This window comes from Homo sapiens, chromosome 4 (assembly GCF_000001405.40).
Source record: "Homo sapiens chromosome 4, GRCh38.p14 Primary Assembly".
NCBI lineage: Eukaryota > Metazoa > Chordata > Mammalia > Primates > Hominidae > Homo > Homo sapiens.
The window spans coordinates 26,710,901-26,733,616 of NC_000004.12; the positions used below are offsets into that span (position 1 = coordinate 26,710,901).

A 22,716-nucleotide genomic window follows, 5' to 3' on the forward strand; every position below is an offset into this window, starting at 1 on the left:
TGAGTTCTTTGTAGATTCTGGATGTTAGCCCTTTGTCAGATGAGTAGGTTGCAAAAATTTTCTCCCATTCTGTAGGTTGCCTGTTCACTCTGATGGTGGTTTCTTTTGCTGTGCAGAAGCTCTTTAGTTTAATTAGATCCCATTTGTCAGTTTTGGCTTTTGTTGCCATTGCTTTTGGCGTTTTAGACATGAAGTCCTTGCCCATGTCTATGTCATGGTATTGCCTAGGTTTTCTTCTAGGGTTTTTACGGTTTTAGGTCTCACATTTAAGTCTTTAATCCATCTTGAATTAATTTTTGCATAAGGTGTAAGGAAGGGATCCAGTTTCAGCTTTCTACATATGGCTAGCCAGTTTTCCCAGCACCATTTATTAAATAGGGAATCCTTTCCCCATTGCTTGTTTTTGACAGGTGAGGGCAGAGTGTTTTAAAAAGTGATTCTTGAAAATTTATCATTTGAAATTTTCTAAATTTGGATAAAAATGTAAGAGTATCACAAATGAAAAAAATTTTATAATAGTTTTACGTTAAAGTGATTGCCCAATTTATATGTCATTTCTTATGTGCTTTTTATTATAAAAATAATTTATTTCTCAGAAACATTTACCATAAATATATTTTCTAGAAGTAAGAGAAAGCTTTAGGACAAACTAAATCTTTTGTGGCTATATGTAGACATTTTAGGTATAATTCTGCCGTATTAGCATAGTTCAGACTTACACATTCAGTTTCTTATAACTCTTCTAAATGAAGTAAATTACTATCATGTGTAGCTTCATCCTGATGAAGTTTAATTTTTACTTAATTGGTAATTAATCCAGGTTAGATTTTCTAGTTAATTTGATTGAAATTGTCATCTTCATATAATCATACCATTTTCTAGCAGATTTACAATTGAACTGTCATTTCCATACAGATACAAAAATTAGAATCTCAGAAGTTAAAACAACTCAGGTTAGAATAAGAGTTGGCAGCTCTTTGCTTGTATCACAGGATTGCACACCAGTACGTACTGTCTAACATACCACTTCTGGCATTATCACCTTACAATCGCCAATATTCTCCTTAGAGCAGTCTCAGATAGCTTGTCTTCTCTAGGGCAACAGGGACTCTAGGGAGATATATTTAATCATAGAGCTTCTTCTAAAATTACTGTGCTTCTACGAGTCTGCTAAACTAAGGGAAAGTTAATACAAATGTTTCTTTAGGAATTGTTTTTCCTCTAGGCAATAGTAGAAAGTTGTTTGTAAGTATATTTTCTTGTTGTATTATTTTACCCTAATTATATATGTTTATTGTTGTATTTGTTGATTGGTTCTATTAGTTTATTATTGCTGCCATAAATTTAGTTGAGTTTGAAATTGGTTTCATTGGGCTTGAATCAAGGCATTGGCAGGGCTGTGTTACTTGTGGATGCTCCAGAGGAGAATCTGGGTTTTTCTTGCCATTTATAGAACCTAGAGTGCCCTTTATAGAACCTAGTGTATTCCTTGGCTTGTGTCCCCTTCCTCTGTCTTCAAAGCCAGCAGAGAGCATCATCACATCTCTTTCTGACTTTGACCCTGCTGCTTCTCTCTTTCATGTATAAGAATCCTTGGTTACATTGGGCCCAGCCAGACAATCCTAAATAATCTCCCCATTTAAAAATCTTCTATTTAATCACATCTGCATAATCCCATTTGTCACATAAGTCACATTTTGTGTGACTATACCAGAATACCTGAGGCTAGGTAATTTATAAAGAAAAGAGGCTTATTTGGCTCATGATTCTGGTGGCTGGAAAGTCTAAGATTGAACAGCCTATCTAGTGAAGGTCTTATGCTGCTTCAACTCATGGCACAAAATGGAAGGGTAAGCAGGTATATACAAAGAGACCAAACATGAGAAGGAGCAACCTGCTTTCATGGCAGCTAGTCCTGTCCCACAGAGATACATTAATCTATTCATAAAGGATCTGCCCACATGACCCAGACACCTCCCACTAGGCCCATCTCCCAACACTACCACATTGGGAATCATATTTCAACAGGAGTTTTCACAGGAAAAAACCATATCCAAACTGGTAGCACACAAATTTCAGGGATTAGGATGTGGACATCTTCGGGGGCCATTATGCTACCTACCACAGTGGTATGTGAAAGTTTGGCAGGAGAAGAGATTAATATTTATAAATTTAGAATTTTTAGAGCCTAATGGTTTTTCTTAATTATTGGAAAATATTTATTATATTAATAGGTCAAAAAAAATTCACATGATTATCTTAATAGACGCCAAAAATTTATTTGAGACCATATTTGATAATATCGATTTTTAAAAAGTATTCAGTTGTAGTAAAACAAATCACAACATAAAATTGACCACTTAACCATTTCTAAGGGTACAGTTTAGCACTGTTAAGTATATTCACATTGTTTTGCAACTTAATATTCATTTTTATACTTTTTATACACTAGAAATCAAGTATTAATATATTTTCTTGACATAATAGTATTTATCTGAAACCAACATTTGCAATATTAATGTAAGTTAATGTTACTCATTAGTGAAATACTAGAGATGTTCCCACTAAAGGAAGGAAAGAACATATCATTTTGGAATTTCTCAACAATGGAATAAGAAAAATAAAATAATAAATAACAGAAAGGACACAACATTATTGTTAACTATAGTTATTTAAAAATTCAAGGGATTGGACTGAAAGCCAGTAGAACTAATAAGATGATTCAGTTAACTGCCTCTTTACTGAATAAAATATTAAAATCCCTTACTCTTTTAAATATGAGTAATAATGATTTAGACTATGTAATAGAAAATAGAGTTAGGCAACATAAGGTATTGGGCTTGTTCACACAGCTCCCTTTTAGACTGTAAACATATAGAAATGCTGGAAAAAGAACACAAGGGATATAAATATACAGCCAAATAGCCATCACATTTTTCAATGTGTATACTCTCTGACTGGGCAATTCTATTCCTATGTATTTGTTCCACAGAGACACTCATATGTGTAAAATGATACAGTAAAAGGCTAATTGTTTTGGTATTGTCAGAAACAGCATAAAGTTGAAAATGAATGTTCATATATTGGGGAGTAACCCATTAAATGAATCATGGAGTACATATTCAGTGAAACATGATACAGCCCTTTAAAAATGAATGCAGCGGGTCAAGCACAGTGGCTCACGCCTGTAATCCCAGCACTTTGGAAGGCTGAGGCAGGAGGATTACTTGAGCTCAAGAGTTCAAGACCAGCCTGGGCAACATAATTAGACCCTGTCTCTACCAAAAAAATTAAAAAGAATGAGGCAGCTCTGTATATACTGATATGAAAAGATCTCTTTAATGCATTGTTTGTTTGTTTTTTCTTTTTTTTTATTATACTTTAAGTTTTAGGGTACATGTGCACAACGTGCAGGTTAGTTACATATGTATACATGTGCCATGTTGTTTTAAGAAGCAGGTACCAAACATTGTGTATGGTGCTCCTACCACTTGAACTGAAACTACTCTCGTCAAGGTCATCAAGAACTAAACCCAATGACCAATTATCCATCCTCCTTTTAACTAATCTCTCAACAGCATTTGATTCATTTTTGCTGTTTCTTCACTTGGGTTTCAAGACACCACATTCTTTTTAGTTTTCCTCTTACTTTTCTAGTCACCAGTGGCAAATTCAGCATTTTGCGGACCTAAAGCTTATAAAATTTGGAAGGCCTTCTTTAAGAAAAAGAATATCATATTATAAATACAAAACCAGATAAGAACACATATTTTTGTTTTGAATGAGGAAAAATTTGTAACAGATTATTAGAACTATAGAGATTCAGGTGTTTTTCTTCTGAGATCTTATTAAACAGTTTACCTTTTCTAGAAACAGTTTCTAGAAATGCATACATAGAAATGCTTTCTGATTACACACTGACTTACTTTCCTTGCCTAGGACACTCTGCGTCTCCCAGCAACTTGCAGCACTCACAGAGCATCATGGTAAATCCACCTTTGATGGTTACTCACTACTCAGTTGTCTAGGCTGGTTCCTTCTCTTTTCTCCAATATCCTAGAATGCCTCAAGTCTCAGTTCTTGGTCTTCTTTTCTCTAGTTACACTCACTCACTTGATGATTCCACCAAGCTCACCTATTTTGTGGCTTTCACTACCATCTATATGTTGATAACTCTCAAATTTGTATCTTCAGTTTAAACTTTTCTTCTATACTCCATACAAGTATCTCCAATTACCTCTTCAATTTTTCCATTTAGATGTCTTGCAGACATCTCAAATTTAGCATGTTGAAAAATGAACCCATGATCTCACTCCCCAAACTGTTCTGCCTGCCACTTTCCCTGTCTCAGTTAAAGGTGTTCCACTCGCTGAGATCAAACATCCTTCTACCTTCAACTTCCACATGTTACTCTCCTTGACTGCTGTCTTTCTCCAAAATATCATCTCAATCTATCAGTAACTCCCGTTGGCCCTGCCGTCACAGTGTATTTAGAATCTGACTTTTCCCCACTTTCACTGTATTGTAAGATGGGTTCCCAGGGAAGCCAATTTAGATGGAGACGAGGATACCAAAGGATTATTAGCGAGTGCTCTTGGAATCAACACATGTATAAGTGCAGTTAATGAAGCAGGATTGAGCATAAGGACAATTCTAGCTGCAATACAGTTTAAATGAAACCCTCAGCCAATGCTGCAGAGAGTTCTAAAGATGGAATAAACTGTCAGACCCATCCTGAGCTGGGGACAAGCATTTCAGACCTTTTTCCCTTGCATCCTCTTCATCAGATATAGGCCATTTCAGGAAAAGGGTGTGACCTTGATATTTGAGCAAAATAGCTCTCTCCAGCAGAGGTAGTCCATGAAAAGAGCTGGCTGCTGAGGGCTATTTGCTACAGCACTACCAGCTGCTATAGTTAGTCCTTCATTCCTAGAGGAGGATCTCTGGGTGGTGTGTCATACATCTGCCACACACTGCTGCCATCTTAGTGAAAGCCACTGTCAATAGTCTCCTAACAAGTCTCCTGGAATGCTTTTGCACATATATCCGCATGCTAAGTTTCTCAACTCCTTTCAATCTTTGATTAGATATCACCTTCTCAAGGAAGCCTACACTGAACAGCCTCTTTAAAGTGTCACCCACTCTTTCTCTGTTCCCCTTTATCTTGTTTCCATAGCACTTGCTACCTAATACACTATATAATGTAATTATCTATCATATTTGCTATTTGTTACACACATTCTGCTCCATCATAATTAAACTCCATAAAAGAGGTGTTTTGTTTGTTTCCTTTTATGTATTCCAAACACAAGGAACAGTGCCTGGTGCATAGTAGGGGCAGAAGAAGAGAATTAGTGAACTGACTAAAAAATAATCTGAGGAAGTCATCCAGAATGGAACAGGGGGGATAAAAGTAAGTAAAAGGCATGGCAGGTTGAATACGTGTAGGTAAATCTTACAGCTTACAGGAGTCAGGTAGAAGTAAATAAAGAAAATGTGGGAGAGGCATCGTTCAATTAAAAATGCCCAAAGCAATTGACCAGACAGGTGGTCCAGTTTTTGGAATTTAAATAACTAAAGGCGTACATATTTAGTCATAAGTAAATTCACTCTAGTGTTGTTTGTAGTTGGGGAAAAGTGGAAATAATTAAATGTTCAACAACAGTACAGGTTAAATAAATTATTGTTCTTTCATACAGTGGAATATTCTGCAACATAAAAATGTGTAAGAAATATTTATCTTACAATAGTGAAAAGAAACTACATATAATCCTGTTTGGTTTGAAAAAATTATATGTATGAGTATGTTAAAAAGCAGTCTGAAAGGATATACCTCAAATTATTAAGACTGATGGGATTATGGCTGTTTCCCCTTTTGTTTATCATCTGTATTTCTTTATTTTTAAAATTAATCTTTTTTTTTTAAACAGAGATGAGGTTTCACCATGTTGATCAGGCTGGTTTTGAACTCCTGGGCTCAAGTGATCCTCCTGCCTTGGCCTCCCAAAGTGCTGGGATCATAGGCATGAGCTACCATGCCCAGCCAATACTCTGTATTTCTAAATTTGTCATTAACATGTACCACTTATGTAGTCATTTAAAATATAATGAAAACAAAGCAGTGGCAGTGGTTGATATGCATTCCACCAGTGAACCTGACTGATTCCCAATCTCCATTACCTATCCTTTTTTCCAAAGCTGTATCCCCTTTCTTGTGTCTTGGACACAAGGATTTTTCCTCTCCCTTCACTCTTGCTGCTAGTTCAGCCTGACTCTGTGCACCTGTTCTGCCTTTTCAGTCATCTTGAGTTCTTTTCTTGGTAATATTTTTAGAATCCCAGGTCTTCTAATACTGAGACCCAGATTTCCTGTCACTAATGGCCTTACTGGGTCTTGGACTGCTGCTCCCAAATTCCAGGCTGGTGTCCTCAATCTAGTACCTCCTAATGGACATCCTTGATCCTGACTTTCTACTGTGCCTATTTTCATCTCCACATAGAGTTGACATACTCTACCCTACTGGTCAGGACAGCTAGCTTCTACCCTTTATTAGGCAACCACTTGTTCTACTGCTGCTGCTGTCCTTTCTAAGTACCACGAGTTGCCTTCCCTCCCACCCTGACATGCCTAACTGCGTGATGCATCCCAGTATGAGTCAAGTTCATTTCCTGCACTTCCCAAATTGCTCTATGTCACAATAGTTACTCAGGGTCTTCTCCATACATTTTTCATCTGTTAAATTTCCCCCAGGTGCTTCTCTTGTCCAGATAGAAAACACAAGAGAAGAGTCAACTGTTAGTTAGCAGTTTGCATTTTCTGCTCTTCAAAGTTGAGGTAGCAAATGGTGAGAACTCTTTGGAAGAATTTGGCATCCCACTGTAATGCTTACCAAAGGTATACCGATAAAGGGCATTCTTCCCACCGCAAGGCACGGTACTTGAACTTGAAGGATGCCTCCTGAGTAGGAAATAATGAATTACCTGGTTTTATAATAGTGCTTAATTGCTATTTTTTTTCCAATGTTATATTCAGGTATTACTTTGTTTTTCCCGGGATACATCTGTGTTGAGTCACTTTGCATTCAACAGTGCCTCGCCACCAAAATCATACATAAGAGGTAAATTTTTAATAATTTTAAGGAAGTATTAAGACTTACATAATCATGCCAAGAATATTTGTTTTATTTTTGGAGATAGTGGTGTTGCCAAATTATTATAAATTACTTAAGATTTCTCTCAGATGACCGTAATTATCCTTTCATACCTCAAATCAGTGCCCAAGTAATTTATCACAAATCACGGGAAAGTGGTTCCCAGAAGCAGCATTTCAAGTTACTTTCTCTGTCTTCCCTGTGTGCTCTACCCTTTATTGTTGTTTTTATGTCATATCTGTTGACTTTTCTTTTTCTTTCTAAGTTTATAACACAGATTTGCTTTTTCTACTTTTTTTAACAATCTATACTTCTCTCAAAACGCTCCACCACACACAAAACTTTGATACAATTTATATGCTTTTAGCTCTCCAATGTCTAGTTTAGTTATTTTTCTCCTCTTTATCACCAGCTGCTTATAAAATATCAATATCCTGCCATCATCTGAAGATACAATTAACTTCAGCTGAATGCCCTTCCCAACTTTTCCTTTTTATTAAATGGTGAACACCCAACACTGAAAGCTCAGACTTCATTGTGTATGGTCATTCTGCCATTTCCATGAAGAAAGAAACTTTCTCCTGTATCTCTTATGTCTGAACTATCTGCCTGATTGCTCCACCTCCTACCCTAGGAGAGGCCACATAACCTTGTGCTGGATTTCAGCTACCCCTAACATAAGGTTTTCTTAGGTCCATTGCTTCTAAATTGAATTTATGGAAACCTTTTGTTTGTTTCTTTAAGTCTTCTGCTGAAAAACTGATTGTAAACTGAATTATCTACTGAGCTCACCTCTAAACTCAGCCAGGATTTTAAGGCCTTTGACCAGTTGATACTGTCCTAACCTAACTAACTTTGCTTCCCTGATTATTCCACAATACCCCATATTCGTTCTAGCCTCCCTATAGTCCCTGCATGTGGAAGGCTTCCCACTTTCCAACCTTAAAAATCATAGGTCCTTGAAGAACTAGCCAGTACCTCACCATGTCCACCAACCCATCATCTATTTCTCTCTCCTCTGAACTTCTAAACACTTAAAGTCTGTGCTAGAAAAGTTAGCAAATATACCCTAATGTTTCATGGTTTAGTCTGGACTATAAACCACATGGTTGAGAGAACATATATATGTTTGCCTCTCAGCATCTAGCCCAGTAATCAATTTTATCTACTTACCTACCTACCTATTCATTATTCCATTCTCTTCTTGCTCACAAGATCAATCCTTTTTGTTTCCACCCTAACCTGAACTGCTCACACTTCTTATTCTTCATTTCGTCTCTGTCACCACCCCTAACAAGAATAAAAAGAACTTTTTTTAACTAAAAATATTACTCTTAGCCCAGTATAAAAATACAAGTGACTTTTCAATAAACTCAAAAGTGTTAGAAAAACTGTCAAAGTAAAAGCTATTTAAAGATATTCAGTGGAAGGTGGAAAAAACTGAGAACTTTTAAGAGTTTTAAAGGAAAGATACTTTTTAAAACTCTCTTAAATATTTGACTATTGTGAATATACTTTACTTTTCTGGGACAACTCTGATTTCAAATATTCAGCCCCATTCTGAAATCATGTGAACTGTTTTGGTATTCAGAAAATATGACCACCATACAGCTAGTCATTTAATTTTTAACTTTCAGCACATTCCATAAAAGTGTACACACAGTATTACAAAGCTTAAGACTTGCTTTAATGAATAGATTAGACTTATTTGTAATTAGCAAAACAATTTTATGCATAATAAATAGATACTTCTCTTCTTAAGTGCCTAAGGAACTTGAAAGCGTTTGTTCTTTTGGTTGTTTTGTGTCGCTTCTGTTGTACTTATGTTCGTGTTACTTTAATTGATGAAAGGGTTTGCTAATACCAAAAGATTGGCTGGTACATTTTTAAGTTAATTTCATATCATGAAATGACATATCAGTTTATAGTAGTTTTTAAAATTCCGTTGTTAGTACATTCACAAAATAAGTTGATTTTTAAAGATTTATTTACTTAATCATATTGAAATCCTCTATGGTTTTCTCTTATAGGAAAACTAGGACTGGAAGAATATGCTGTCTTTTACCCACCAAATGGTAAGAGTAATGCTATTGCTTCCTCTAGTGGGAAGTGAAAAAATTACAACTTTTATAATCAAAATGTGACTTTCTTATTCTCTTTAATGGATAATCATTTATTATCTAAAATAAACCTTCCATAGAATGTATAATTTAATGAAATCCTCCACATTTGTGGTAGGTTTGTGCTAAATTATGCATACTCTCTCTGATTCTCCCTGGGACCAACAGTAAACCTGTGAGAAAGCTGAGTATGCTTAGATCTAAGTCCAAGGCACTTCATTTTCCTGTGAAGAACACTAGCTAATCCAATGCAGACCTTCCTTTTGGGTTTTTTGGAGCTGGGCTTTACTCAATTGAGTGGATTATCTTGTATTGCACCTTATTGTTCTCATAATTTGACCAATGTAGTATTTATGAAACAAAAATATTATTAAAAGGTATCACTGAAATCACCTATTTTGATGTTATAAAGTGATCAAATATATAATGACCTCATTAGACATTAAATATTCTTTTGAGATAACTAGACAGGTTTTAAGATATGCTTCTTGGAAAAGCAATATATAGCAGTCCTTATGATAATATTAAGTTGCATCCTGAAGAAGTTCTTTTACTCCAGCAGAGTTAAGAACATGGGTTTTGTAATCCAGCAGACTTGGGTTCAGATCCCAATTCTTCCAGCTTATCCTATGACCTTAAGTAAGTTACATGACTTCTCTGAACTTCAGGTTCATCATCTGTACCATGTGGATAATAGATTACATGAGATATGGTATATAAAACCACAAAGTGCCTGACATGTAGTGAGTGCTCAGAAGATGTAGCTGTTATGAGTGTGTTTAACTTTACTGATCACTATATCTAAAACTCATACGTGGCTTTGGCTTTCATGGCGCTGTTCTCTCCCTGTGTCTCTCAATATGGAATCTCAGTTTCATGGGCCATCTACCTCTGTCCCTCTTTTAATATCTCACTCTTGTTCTGCTGCTCTTCTCTTTTCTTACTTTTATCTAGGGGCTGCCATTTGCTTTTATGATTCTATCTATTGTTAATTACTCTAAAATATATCCAGTTCGTACCTCTCCCATAACTACCTAAAGCTTAATATGTCCCAGCCTGAACTCACTGTTTTATCTTCTTATGCCCACCCCCAAAAGAAAAAAGAAGAAACTAAATTAAAAAACAAAAAACAAAAACCCACCTATTTCTCTCTCAGTTAATTGAATTGTCATCTTCCTAGTAACTCAAGGCCATCCTAGATTTCTCTCCACCTTGTCCCCAACTCATCTAATAAGTCGCGAGGACCTTCCAATTTTATCTTCCAAATACGTCTGGAACCCTCTCTTCCACACCATCCCCGCTGCCTTGTCTCCTTTCAGTTCTTACTATCTCTAGCTTGTTAATTGCAACAACCATCTAACTGGTCCCTCTTCCCACAGTCTTTTCTAGTTTTGCTGTCTTTTACACTGCTCATTTGAGTTATACATCTAAAGTGAAAATCTGCAAATTGCCATTTTTCTCAAAGTGTTCTTAATGGCTTCCCATCTCTTAACAAGTGATATTCAAGCTTCTCAGCATGACATATGAGGACCTCTTGAGTCTGATCCCTATAGTCTACCTCCTAGCTTCATTTTCCACTATTTCCCATCTCATTTTTAATTATAGCAATATCAAACTATTTATTATTTATACCCACAGCTACATACTCTCACGAAAGCACTATGCTGCTTCCTGTCTCATCACTTCTCATGTTTCCATGCTTAGAATAGCCCATCTAACCTTTCTTCACCTGGCTGTCATCAAGCTCAGTTTAGGCATGATCCTCTTTCAGGAAGCTTTCCCTGAATCCCCAGGTTAGGCTAAGGGCCCTTCCTCTAGACTCCCATAGTACCTGGTCTAAACTCTTTGGTATCTCTAGCTATGTTATCTTGATATTGTTTGTTTATACTTTATCTCCTCCTCTTAATTGCAAGCTTCTTGTAGTTCAGAGCCATATCATTCATTTTTGTTGCCTCAGTATCTAGCATGTAATAGGACTGTAATGAGTATTTATTTGAACTCAATTAGAGGTTTGTTAATTTTAACTTTATATATTACCATTGTTACATCTATTATCCCAGAAACTTACTTTTATAGTAACTTTTTATATTTTATCTAAGAAGCAAGAAACAATAACAAAATACCTCTGAATAGCCAAAAGAGTTGTCCATGGACTCAAGTTCTTCTCTCCATCCATAGAAGTGTTTTTTCAACTTAGTTTAGAATATATTAGCTTTTACTTAACACACATGTCTAACAAATTGGTTAACTCTTTTTTATGCCTCCTACAAAAATAGAAGCATGGAAAAGGCTGATATAGATATGAAAAAATAGCAACAACAGTGAGAAGTAAAAAGGAGACTTCACAAAGGAAAATACAGGAGCTATAAAACAGCGTATTAGACCACTCCAGCAAATCAGTCTGGGGCCATTTTATGTAAAAGCTAGTAACACTGTGCCCTTTAAGAAGGTATCACTAAGTTGCAGCATATTATAATTTAGCATCTTTATAATGAGCTCAAGACACCAAAAAAAATCTCGCTATAGTAATAATTGTAACAGTATAGTTATAGCAGCAGCAGCAAACATTTTCCAAGCAGTACTATATCCCAGGCAATGTGTTAAGTATATGACATATATTAATTCATTTAGTCCTTACAAGAACCTATGAGGAAGGTACTAATATTATCCCTATTTACAGATAAAGAAACTGAGGCATAGAGTGTTAACCTGCCCAACAGGTGAGTGACAAAGCCAAGCTTTGAATCCAAGCTGTCTGGCTTCAGAAGCAACATTCTTATCAGGATGCCCTACTGCCTCAGAAGATGTTGCTGAGCTCATTATAGTGAATTTGGGAAGAAAGGAAAGTAGTTAATGTAATAAAAAGGTAGAGGATGTATGTGATAGGTTCTAGAAAGATTTTCATCCAGAATGAAAACTGTTTAATCCTTAATGAGATAAGCCCACAGCTGTTCATAAATTTAGTTCTACAGAATCATTTCTCCTCTCAGGTTGTTTTAGAACTTGCCAGAATCAAGGAGGACACTTTTCTCTGGGCAATGATTCTGAAGTTTCAGAACAAGAAGAGACAAAGACCAGTCAATCTACTCTCCCCCGCTTTTTTTTTTAACTCAAGGCAATACTTAGCAGCATTTTTATATTACCCACCCTGTTTTGAACCTCTGCCAAAGATATTATTACTTTGAAATCTTGACACCTCTGTCACTACTACCACCAAAACTGTTGTGGCTTTCTTGGTCTCAGGGGACCACACATAGAGGTTAGCCTGCAGCTCACTGACACACTCTCATTCCCTGACCAGGCCAGTGCTTACAGGGTGGCAGAGGTTTTCTCACCACTACCCCCAACATGCCTGTGATTACCTTCCCTGGGAGGGAAATGACAGGCTATGGTGGCATCAGACATTTTGTTCTCTCACTTCATTTGAAGAATCACCAATGGACAGATTTCCTCTAGTAGATTCCCCAAACAGCTAGTGAGCAAAATTTCTGAACTAAGGGAGACTTCTCAGAAGAATTTTATAAGCTTTTTATATTTTTTGTTGTTATTCAACACATATAAATTGTCTTTATTCATTTGATAAATATTTATTTAGCCTAGGTCACTGTTGTAGGAGGGTGATCCACAGTAAATGATACAAACAAAGTACCTGCTGCCAAGGAGCTTACCTTCTAGTAAGGGGAACATAAAATCAGTCAATCATCAGTCAATCAACAAAGGATGAATGAATGAAAGTAATTTCAAAGAATGATGAACTTAACAATGAAAGGGAGCAGAAATTGTAGGAAGTTGGGATGGGCATAGCCATTTTAGATCAAGTAGTCAGGAAAGGTGCCTCTGAGGAGGTGGAATATGAACAGAGACAGACTATATGGAGTATGCTATGCAATGAAATGGGAGAACGTTCCAGAAGAGAGTACACAGCATGTCTGAAGGCAGGAATAAGCTTGATAGTCTGAAGCTCACCAAGATGGCCAGTGTGACTGGCAATAGTGAGCAAAGCATTGACTGATACAAGGTGAGTTAGAAAAGGTAGATGGAGCTAGGTCAGTTAGGGAGATAGTTGACTTAAAGTCTTGTCTAGTAAGTCCAATGTCTGTGCTTCCTCAGGGATTTTTTATTATTTTTTTTCCTGTGAATGGGTTATACTTTTTTATTTCTTCACATGCCTAGTAATTGTTTTATTGTTGAAAATGGAATAATTTGAATATTATACTGTGGTATCACTGGAAATGGGAGTCTTTCTGTCCCCCTCCCCAAGAATTCATTGTTGTTGCTTGTTGTGGGTTCTAGGTGTTGTTTAGTGACTTTTCTAAATATTTTTATAAAGATATTTTATACAGATATTTTTATAAAGATATTTTTCATCTTATATGCTCACTGAAGTCTTTATTTTAGTAGAGTAACAGTCAGCTAGTGATTTGACAGAGATTTTCTTAAATATCTAGAACCAAAAATAAAAACCCCTCTTTCAGTCTTTGCAGATTGGCTGGGTATTGGGGCACTCCTTCAAGGCTTAGCCAGGCTGTTTACAACTGTATGTTAGCCTTCACTTCCTGCTTGCACAGAGCCTCAAAGGCAGTCAGAAGTGGGAGCCTAAGGTCTTCTTGGGTAAGTTTTAGATTCCCCTGTATACACAGATGCTTTCCAAAGCCCTCATGCCCCAAGTAGCTCCTACCCCAGCCTCTTTCTTCCCAGGCTTTTCAATCTGTATACCACCACTCCCATCTTTTATTCCTTCTCCTAGGTGGCTGCAGCTAGTATATATTTTCCTTTAAATGCTTTTGACAAATGCCTCTTGGCAGGCCATGTCAGTCCTGAAAAAGCCCAGAGATGAGGCAAATAAAATGAAGGCAATCTCCTGAGCCAGTCCCGCAGTTAGCTACTATATAGGTCAAAACACACAACCACAATATTTTGATACAAGATCCCCCTGGTACCAGCAATCTGCATCAGGAATGTGAGCCATGGTCTTCATGGCTGCTGCCAAGTTGGGGAGTAGGGTATGGTAGGTGGGCAAATTAAAATGCCATATGCTCTCTTACTAAAATTCTTTCTTCATTAAATATTCCCCTGGTGGTTGTAAGTTTTTATTAAATTCCAGAGTTCAAAAAAGTTGATTCTAACAGTTCCTGCCAGCTTAACCATTGCTTTAATGGAGGAATGGAGTTTGGGAGTTTCCTACTCCACTCTTCTCAGTGACATCTCTCCTCCAATTCCTGACTAATGCTTTTTCTTTTTTTCTTTTTTTCTCCCCCCAAGACAAAGTCTTGCTCTGTCGTCCAGGCTGGAATGCAGTGGGCCGATAATGAACTACTGCAGCCTCGACCTCCTGGGCTTAAGTGATCCTCCCACCTCAGCCTCCCAAGTAGCTGGAACTACAGGTGCACACCACCATGCTGGGCTGATTTTTTTGTATTTTTCATATAGACAGGATTTTACCATGTTGCCAGGCTAGTCTTGAACACCTGGTCTCAAGCAATCCGCCCACCTCAGCCTCCTAAATTTCTGGGATTACAAGCATGAACCACCATGCCCAACCCTGATTAATACTTCTAAACGATCATCCTGTCTACTGTGTAGAATAAAAGTGTCACTAGAATGTAAGCTCCAAGAGAACAAGGACCTTAATAGTTTTGGTGATCAACATATCTAGCACCTAGAATCATGCATGGCATAAAGTCTGTGCTCAGTAAACATTATTGAATAAGTGAGGGAATAAATAAGAAAATGAACATAGAATACAGAGGAATAAGAATAGAAGCAAGGAAACCAGACTTGTAGCAAAAATACACATGTATCTGACTGACTTAATTACAAGTGATAAACAACCATCATAAATTTGTTAATACCATTTGTTTCTTACATGACAGAAGAAAACAATTGTCAGTGAATATTGGGTAGGGGAGTTTCAGTACTCTAGAGCAGTAATTCTCAACCAGTGGCAATTCTCCCAACACACACACACACACACACACACACACACACACACACACACACACACACACATCAGGAAACATTTGGCAATGTCTGAAGACATTTTTGGTTGTCAGCCAGGGGAGAGGGATGCTGATAAACGTCCTACAGTACACTGGACAGCCCCTTACAACAAAGATTAGATAAGGCTCTTAGAAGAAAAATAATCAAAGTACATCATTTTAAATCTTCTTGCAAGTGTCAAATTAATAAATAGCAATGTAGTTTGTCATCCATATTAATTAAATAAATTTAAACTATCTCATATTCTAAAATTCATTTGAGGTATAACTTTAGACTTCAGTGAAAACCTCACTAAAATTTTAAAGTAAGATTTTCAGATTGATATTTAAATGTGGTTATGTTCCTATGTTTTGTGAAATTTTAACTACTGAAATAGAGTAACAAAACCATAATGTGACATTCTAATTCAGAAAGATAATGGAAATAACTAGAAAACAATTTAATCATTGTCCCAATCTCTATTCTTACTGACCTGTAGGCTACATATGGAATGAGAATAAACAGAGGAATTGATTACTTCAACAAATGAATTAAATAAACTGTACTAAGTAATAATATGCTTTCAGCTGGAGTGAAGTTGAAGTGAATCAGATAGGCGAGTTACGGTACAATGATAAATGCTAAGTATTAATAGAGACAATGAGGAAATGAAGAGAATATTTAATAAGTGCAAAGCATGTTAATATTTGGGGTATTTTCTGAGTCATATTTACTATTTATATCTCATCTAGTTCAAGATTTATTTTAGTTAACGATGTTTGCCATTCTGAGCTTTGTCAAAGGCCCATAAATCATCACTTTATAAAATTATTCACATTGAGTGGAATAGGCAGTTAATATTTTAGACTTTCTTCAGATGCATAAGGAAAGGCTAGAATCTGAAAATAATTACTTATAGCAGACTTGTAGAAGAACTCTGAGGCCAGCTATGAGATGTGCCCCAAGCATCCTGACGCCTGCTGGAAACATGCTCTTGGGTGGTAGTCAGGTGAATGAAACTTGACCCTTGAAAGGCTGAAGTGATGAGAGGCAAAGGGAAGGATTTTGAAAAACTAGCCAAGAACATGACAACCTCTAAGATCAAAGAAATGTTCTAGGTAGTATGCACCCTACAGTGTTAATGGATTCTTCACTGCTTCTTATGCCTCCAGATTTTGTTTACCAGAATCTGACTCGTCCTTCAACAAAGCGGACTGTGTAGCCTTTTTTTGGAGCCTTAAGCCCAGACTAATCTTGGCTAAGCTGAGTGTGCCTTTATCTGATACTGACAAAAAAAGATTTTCTTAGGTTTAAGCTGATATGTTAATGTGGCACTTTGCCTTCTGAGAGCATAAAATAGGTATGGGTTATTGAGCATCTGCTATGGACTGAACACCACACTGGCACACTTTAAATAAATTAACTCCGTTGTGCTTTGTAGTGCAACCCAATGAAGTTGATCTTGTTTATCTCCATTTTCAGAAATGAAAATATGGTTTCAGCAAGGGTTCGTAACTTGCCCAGAGTCACACAGGATTCAAATTCATGTCTATATGACTTCTTTGGTCATTTGTTCTTTCAACATTGAGTTATCAAAAGCCTTCTGTTCTATATCTTACTTATTTATAAATGAATTTTATATTTTAGTATTTTATTTATAAGCCTTGATTATATTTATAAATGCTCAAATTTCCATCATTAACATTTACTGGGCATCTCACTTGTGGAAGACACTGTGCTGGATGCTGAAGATAATACACAGTATGAAATACAGTTCTTTCTTCAAACAGCTTGTATCCTAGCTACTTAAAGAGAAGCTATAGATTTCAGAACTTGGGGGAAATGTAGTAAAAGTGGTTAAACATGACTCATCTTAATACTTGCATCCCTTTTTGCTGCTTCATAGTTCACTAATTAATTTATTGTAAGCTTTCTTATTAAAAGTGCCTTGTCCTGACTAGGGTATTCTTACACTTAGCAGATCCTGAATAAGTATTTTTATAAGATGAAAATATTAATAATGTCTTCATTTCTGACTACCTTAGCCACTTGTTGAAATGTTTCTGCAGTGCAGTGGCTTAAAAGAGGAAGGCAAAAGTGTTTTTTAAGTAAGGCTGTCAGGTTTTTATATAATAGCAATCTGCTTTGAGATTTAGTATTTAGAAAGATATAATATGTACTTACACTTTTATAAGGCATCAAAATATGCCTACTATTTATTAACTTATTTTTCTCTCTGAGTTTTTCTTTCACATGTCAACATGTTTATTGAAGAAAAGTTAGAAAAGACAAACTTTGTAATTATTTTTTAAAAGTTTATAATTAGTAAAGGAAATAACATGAAACAGCAGAGGCAGTAGGAAGGTAAAAAAAAGATGGGCGGAAGAAAAAGAGACTCAACCAAAGAATATAGAGAAAGACTTGAAAAAGAAATGTTTTTTGAGCTCTCCTTCCAGATGGTCCCTGGAAATGAAGCTGGTGGCTATAGTGTCATTGGGAATATTGACCTTCTAATCTGGTTTTTAATTTTTTTAGTTTCTAGAATGCAAAGGGCCTTTAAGTTGTTAAAGAGCCTTACTATTGGCCGGGCGTGGTGGCTCACGCCTGTAATCCCAGCACTTTGGGAGGTTGAGGCGGGCGGATCACGAGGTCAGGAGATCGAGACCATCCTGGCTAATATGGTGAAACCCCGTCTCTACTAAAAATACAAAAAAAATTAGCCGGGCGTGATGGCGGGCGCCTGTAGTCCCAGCTACTCAGAAGGCTGAGGCAGGAGAATGGCCTGAACCCGGGAGGCGGAGCTTGAAGTGAGCCGAAATCGCGTCACTGCACTTCAGCCTCGGCGACAGAGCGAGACTCCGTCTCAAAAAAAGAAAAAAAGAAAAGAGTCTTACTGTTGGAAAATCTTTATAGGTACTGTTTTCTTCAAGTCTCACAATTTTTTTCGCATTTCCTCTAGACTTAATTGTTAACATCTAATTTTAGAGTTAGATAATACATCAGAGGCAATCATAGTCCCCTTGTGTGTCAGGCAGGTTACTGAAGCTCAGCAGGTTTGATGACGTTCCTAAGGTTACCCAGCTGGTTTGTGTTAAGCCCACAATTGAACTTTGATCTCCTAACTAGAGACCAATACTTCTCTTGCTGCTTCTGTACCTATGATTTACTCATCTCTTCATTCTGCAAAGATGTATATCATCAACTATGTACGTGGCACCATGAGTTGTATACTCAGATGAATAAAATATATTTCCTATCCTCAGGAACAACCTGTTAAACAGCTAATTATAACACAAAACAGAGTGAAATCATAGTGTTGGAAATATGAACTAAGTACCATGAGAATGCAGAAGAATGAGCATTTAATTATGATTAAGAGATCAGGAAATGTTTGTCTGAGGTTATAGCTGACCTTAGTAAGGTTTTGATGGCTAAATAGAATAAAGAATTATCAAGTTCAGAGCTATCAAACTGTAGGGATACTGGTGATGATAAATAATCTAGTGTGACTATACTACGGAGAGTATGGAGTTAGGATAGTATGCCAAGGGGGAGGCAGATGTAGCTCAGGTTGCAGGACATAATCATGAATGTTTAAGGCCAGATCAAAGGTCTTGAATTTTACTGTGTATACACTTAGCCTATATTATAAGGCTAGAGTGTGAGCTCTATAAATACAGGGACAATGTCATATTTATTTTAATATCTCCAGAGGCTACAGAGTAGGTTTTTAAATATTTGTTAATTAGATGAGTAGGAGCTCAGCAAATATTTGGTAGATGGATAAATAGTGGAAAGTCCTCAGTGGATGTAGAGAACTTTTTCATGGTCTCATTAATATTTTTGAAAGATAACTTGAGCTCTCTAATGTCAAAAACTGGTTAGAGAACTGAGAGTTTGGAGGAAAGGATACCAATTAGGAGGCTCTTACAGAACCATAGGTAAGAGTTTATTAGGGACAGAATTCTGATCATGGCAGTATGGAAGGAAATAAAAGGTTAAAAAATGATAGAGGTAGACTCCCTACAGATGCATATATTCATTCTGCAAGCATTTAATGAGTACCTGTTATATTCTGGGCACTGTGCTTGGTCTCTGGATATAGAGATACATAAATAAAAAGCAGTTCCCATGCTCAAAGGATTTATTCTACTGGGAGAGAAAAAAATAAAAAATTATTAAAAGACAGTAAGATAGGGAAAGGAATACAATTCTTAAGTACTGCCTTTGTATCAAATATTGTGCTAATCATATTGCATATATTATAATATTTAATCCTCACCACCTCATTGGTATTGTTCCCACTTGATTGTTGAAGGCAAGTTTCTCTCCAACCTTTGCAGGGCCCAGAGCAGAAGTACGAATAGAGGCCCACCTACCATAAGTCAAAATATATAAAAGTTATAAATTAGACTCATAAACTGATAAAGTCTACTCTATTTTCTTTCCTTGACACGTATACTTTGATAACAATCTGGAAGGCCAGGTTTGAATTCAGAATTATCAGACTCTTCATCCTTCCCTAGCCTGTGGTATCCCCACCCACTTCTCATTTACGGCTCCACTTCACACCTTGGACAGGCTTCATGGACAGAAGCCTGCAGGTCCAGCCTCTGTTCACAGTTTCCACAAATAGCCAGCCTTTGGCCACCTCTCTGTCCTGAGGTATACAGGTATATCAGGAGGTGTATACCTTCTCTTCTCTTCCCCACCAAAGAGAACATGCAGGCTCTGGAAGCTGTCTTAGGAGCCTTTGGGCTCAGAATTTCAGAGTCTTGGGTACCTTGGATGTGGTCTGGAAGGAGAAACATTGGCTCTGGATAAGGAGTACAGCCGGAGGAGGGTCACAGAGCCCTCAGCTCAAGCCCCTGTGCCTTAGTCTAAAAGCAGCTTTGGATGAGGAAGCAGGTTAAGTAACATACGTAAGCGTACACAGGTAGAAAGTGCTGGAGTCAGAATTGCACAGTGTGTAGGAGTAGTACCTCAATCAATGAGGGCAAATCAACTGAAAGAAGAGGACCGATTAATGAATTGCTTAGGGGGAGGGATCAAGGCTATCAGGGAGATCTTTCTAGGAAGATTATTGTTTAAAATTATGAAGGAGTAGGGCAGGGACAGGGCCAGAGGTAGAGGAGAACATTGCCTATAGCCCTTGTCTTGCACCCAGAGGCTGAAGGGGTGGCGATCAATTTGGAGGGATTAGAGCAGTGCTTGTGGGGTACAGAGAAGGAATGAAGACTGAAGAGTTAAGTGGTCCTTATCCAAAAGAGACAGGAGAGGTACATAATCACATTTAGGTATAAGGGCTAAGGGAGAACAAGAGAGCAAAAATGACTCAAAAGTTTCTTCCCTGAATGACTAGGGAGGTGGTGAGTCATTTACAAAAATAGAGACCAGAAGGAGCCTGAGGATACTGGGCTTTTAAGGTTGGTATTATGGATTAATAATGAGAATACTGGTAGAGCGAAAGAGAAAACAAGTATACAGAGTCTCAGAGCTATATTGAAGGAGTGCGCAGAAGAGAGAACTGCCAGAAACAAAACAAACACTCACAAAAAACTGAGCAGCAAAAGTTTCTGTGGGACAAGAAGCCCGATCTGCGTCGTGTCATCAATGCCGTGGTAGACTCAAGTTTGACTGTGAGGCCATTAAGTACAGCATACAAAGAAGGGAAACCCCTGGATTTGGCAATCAGAAGTTACGTCCGTAGGGATGGGAAACCATTTGCGAGATTTTGAGGATACATAATAAGGAAGTAAAGGAAGTCAATACAGTTTAAAAAAAATTAAGCCTGGCTTTGAGAAAATGAGCGAGATTAGAGATTTGTTTGATGGGAAAGTAGGGTCCGGGAAAAAAAATTGACTACTTCTTCCTTCCTTCCTATTTTTTCTTCTTCTTTCTTATTTCTTCTTATTATTATGTGTAAGAATATTCGTAACATCCTTGGCTGAAAGGATGCAGTGAAATATGAAAGACTAAAGATATGATTACTTTGATAAGATACACCCACCCCTTGCTTCTACTCTGCTTCGTTAGAGGAGTAAAGAGCAGATCCCACCACTATCCGGCTGAAGACCAGTTGCCCTCAGTAAAGGTAACCCTGTTTATGACAATCATCACATGAAGCTAGGGCTTCCAGGTCACCCTTGTCAGATGATTCTCACCTCCACAGCTTAAGGGCTCTTTATCAGTAAGTCCTCCTCCGCCCTAGCCTGGCCTTGTCCTCCTTCCCTCCATTATTTTTCTTCATAGCCCTTATTACTATCTGACATGTATTCGCTTATTTTTATTATGATTGTTTTGTCCCTAATCAAATGGCAGCTACAGTTCTTAGAACAGTGTCTGGCACATCGCAGGGACACAGCACATGTGTGTGGAATGATGCATGTGCAGCAAGGGGGAAGGGATGGTTGATGGGGCAGGAGTCCGAAGCAGGGTTTGGCAGACTTTTCCTTTAACCAGCCAGATGGTAAATATTTCACATTTTGCTGGCCACAAACAGTCCATGTCCCATATTATTCTTTGTTGTTTTTGAAATAATCCTTTAAAATATGTAAAAGCCATTCTTAGCTCACAGGCCACACATAAACAAGCTGCAAACCTGACTGCTGCTTGCCAGTCACTCTGAAAGTCAAGGAAACACGATTTAGAGCACAGGTGAAGATGTTGGGTGAAAAAGAAAAAGGATACATCCTCCTCTGGGCTGTAAGTGAGAAAACATGAAATATGAAGAACAGCCAAAGGAAGGAGTTCATGTCAATGGCATCAGCCTCGTAGTGAGGAGAAAGTGAAGTCTACAATTCAGTGTTAAACACTTGAAAAGGGAGGAAATTTTGAAAGAATGGGGTGGCTAATCATATAGAGAGGAATAAGAAAATTGATACACAACATAAAATTCAGCAGAAGTTGGAGAACATGAATCTGTGTGCTAGAAGACTAGAGAAAATGTCAATCCTCAGAATTTTCACTTGTGAGCTTAAAGCAGTGCTGCACAAAATTCTGAAGATGGTTGGCCTGGCATACCAGCTCAGAATAATTTGGCTTTTCTCATACTATTTTTGATAAAATTGCTTCTAGAAACAACAAAGAAGTATGAACTAACTTGTAAATGATAACATCAACAATTAACATTTGCTTATTAACAAATAATAGCCTAAGCTATTTAAATAAATAGTATAGGCCCTAAGCTATTTATTAATGGCTGAGCCACAACTGTTATCTCATTTAATCATATTATGTGAGTTCTAGCGTTATCTCTGATTTACAGATGAGGAAGCTAAAGCTTAGAGAAGTTAAGAGACATATGCAAAGACACACACACACACACACACACACTCTTTAGTGATAGAACCGGATGAACCCAACCAAGTCTGTCTGACATCCAGTCCATGCCCTTATCGCAACAGGTTGCTGATTAATGCATTGACATCAATATGAAAGGAGTTTCTACTGATAATTCTAGTCTTC

At 37.2% G+C, this 22,716-nt stretch overlaps 1 protein-coding gene across 17 annotated transcripts in view; it reads left to right on the forward strand.

The window, feature by feature from the left end:
• The window catches only part of TBC1D19 (TBC1 domain family member 19), a 282,243-nt gene that overhangs the window by 134,224 nt on the left and 125,303 nt on the right, over positions 1-22,716 (forward strand). For 11 of the 17 annotated variants that reach the window (XR_007057937.1, XR_001741277.2, XR_007057936.1 and 8 more), the window contains 2 exons: positions 7,033-7,117; positions 9,181-9,225. Coding sequence is in view for 8 of the 17 variants with exons in the window: in XM_047415904.1 (XP_047271860.1) it covers positions 7,033-7,117; positions 9,181-9,225 (130 nt within the window). In the remaining 9 variants the exon portion in view is untranslated. Of the gene's footprint in view, positions 1-3,939; positions 5,414-7,032; positions 7,122-9,180; positions 9,226-11,950; positions 11,991-13,745; positions 18,163-22,716 lie in introns of those variants that run through there. The other 6 variants (XR_007057940.1, XM_011513852.3, XR_007057939.1 and 3 more) reach the window with 6 other exon arrangements.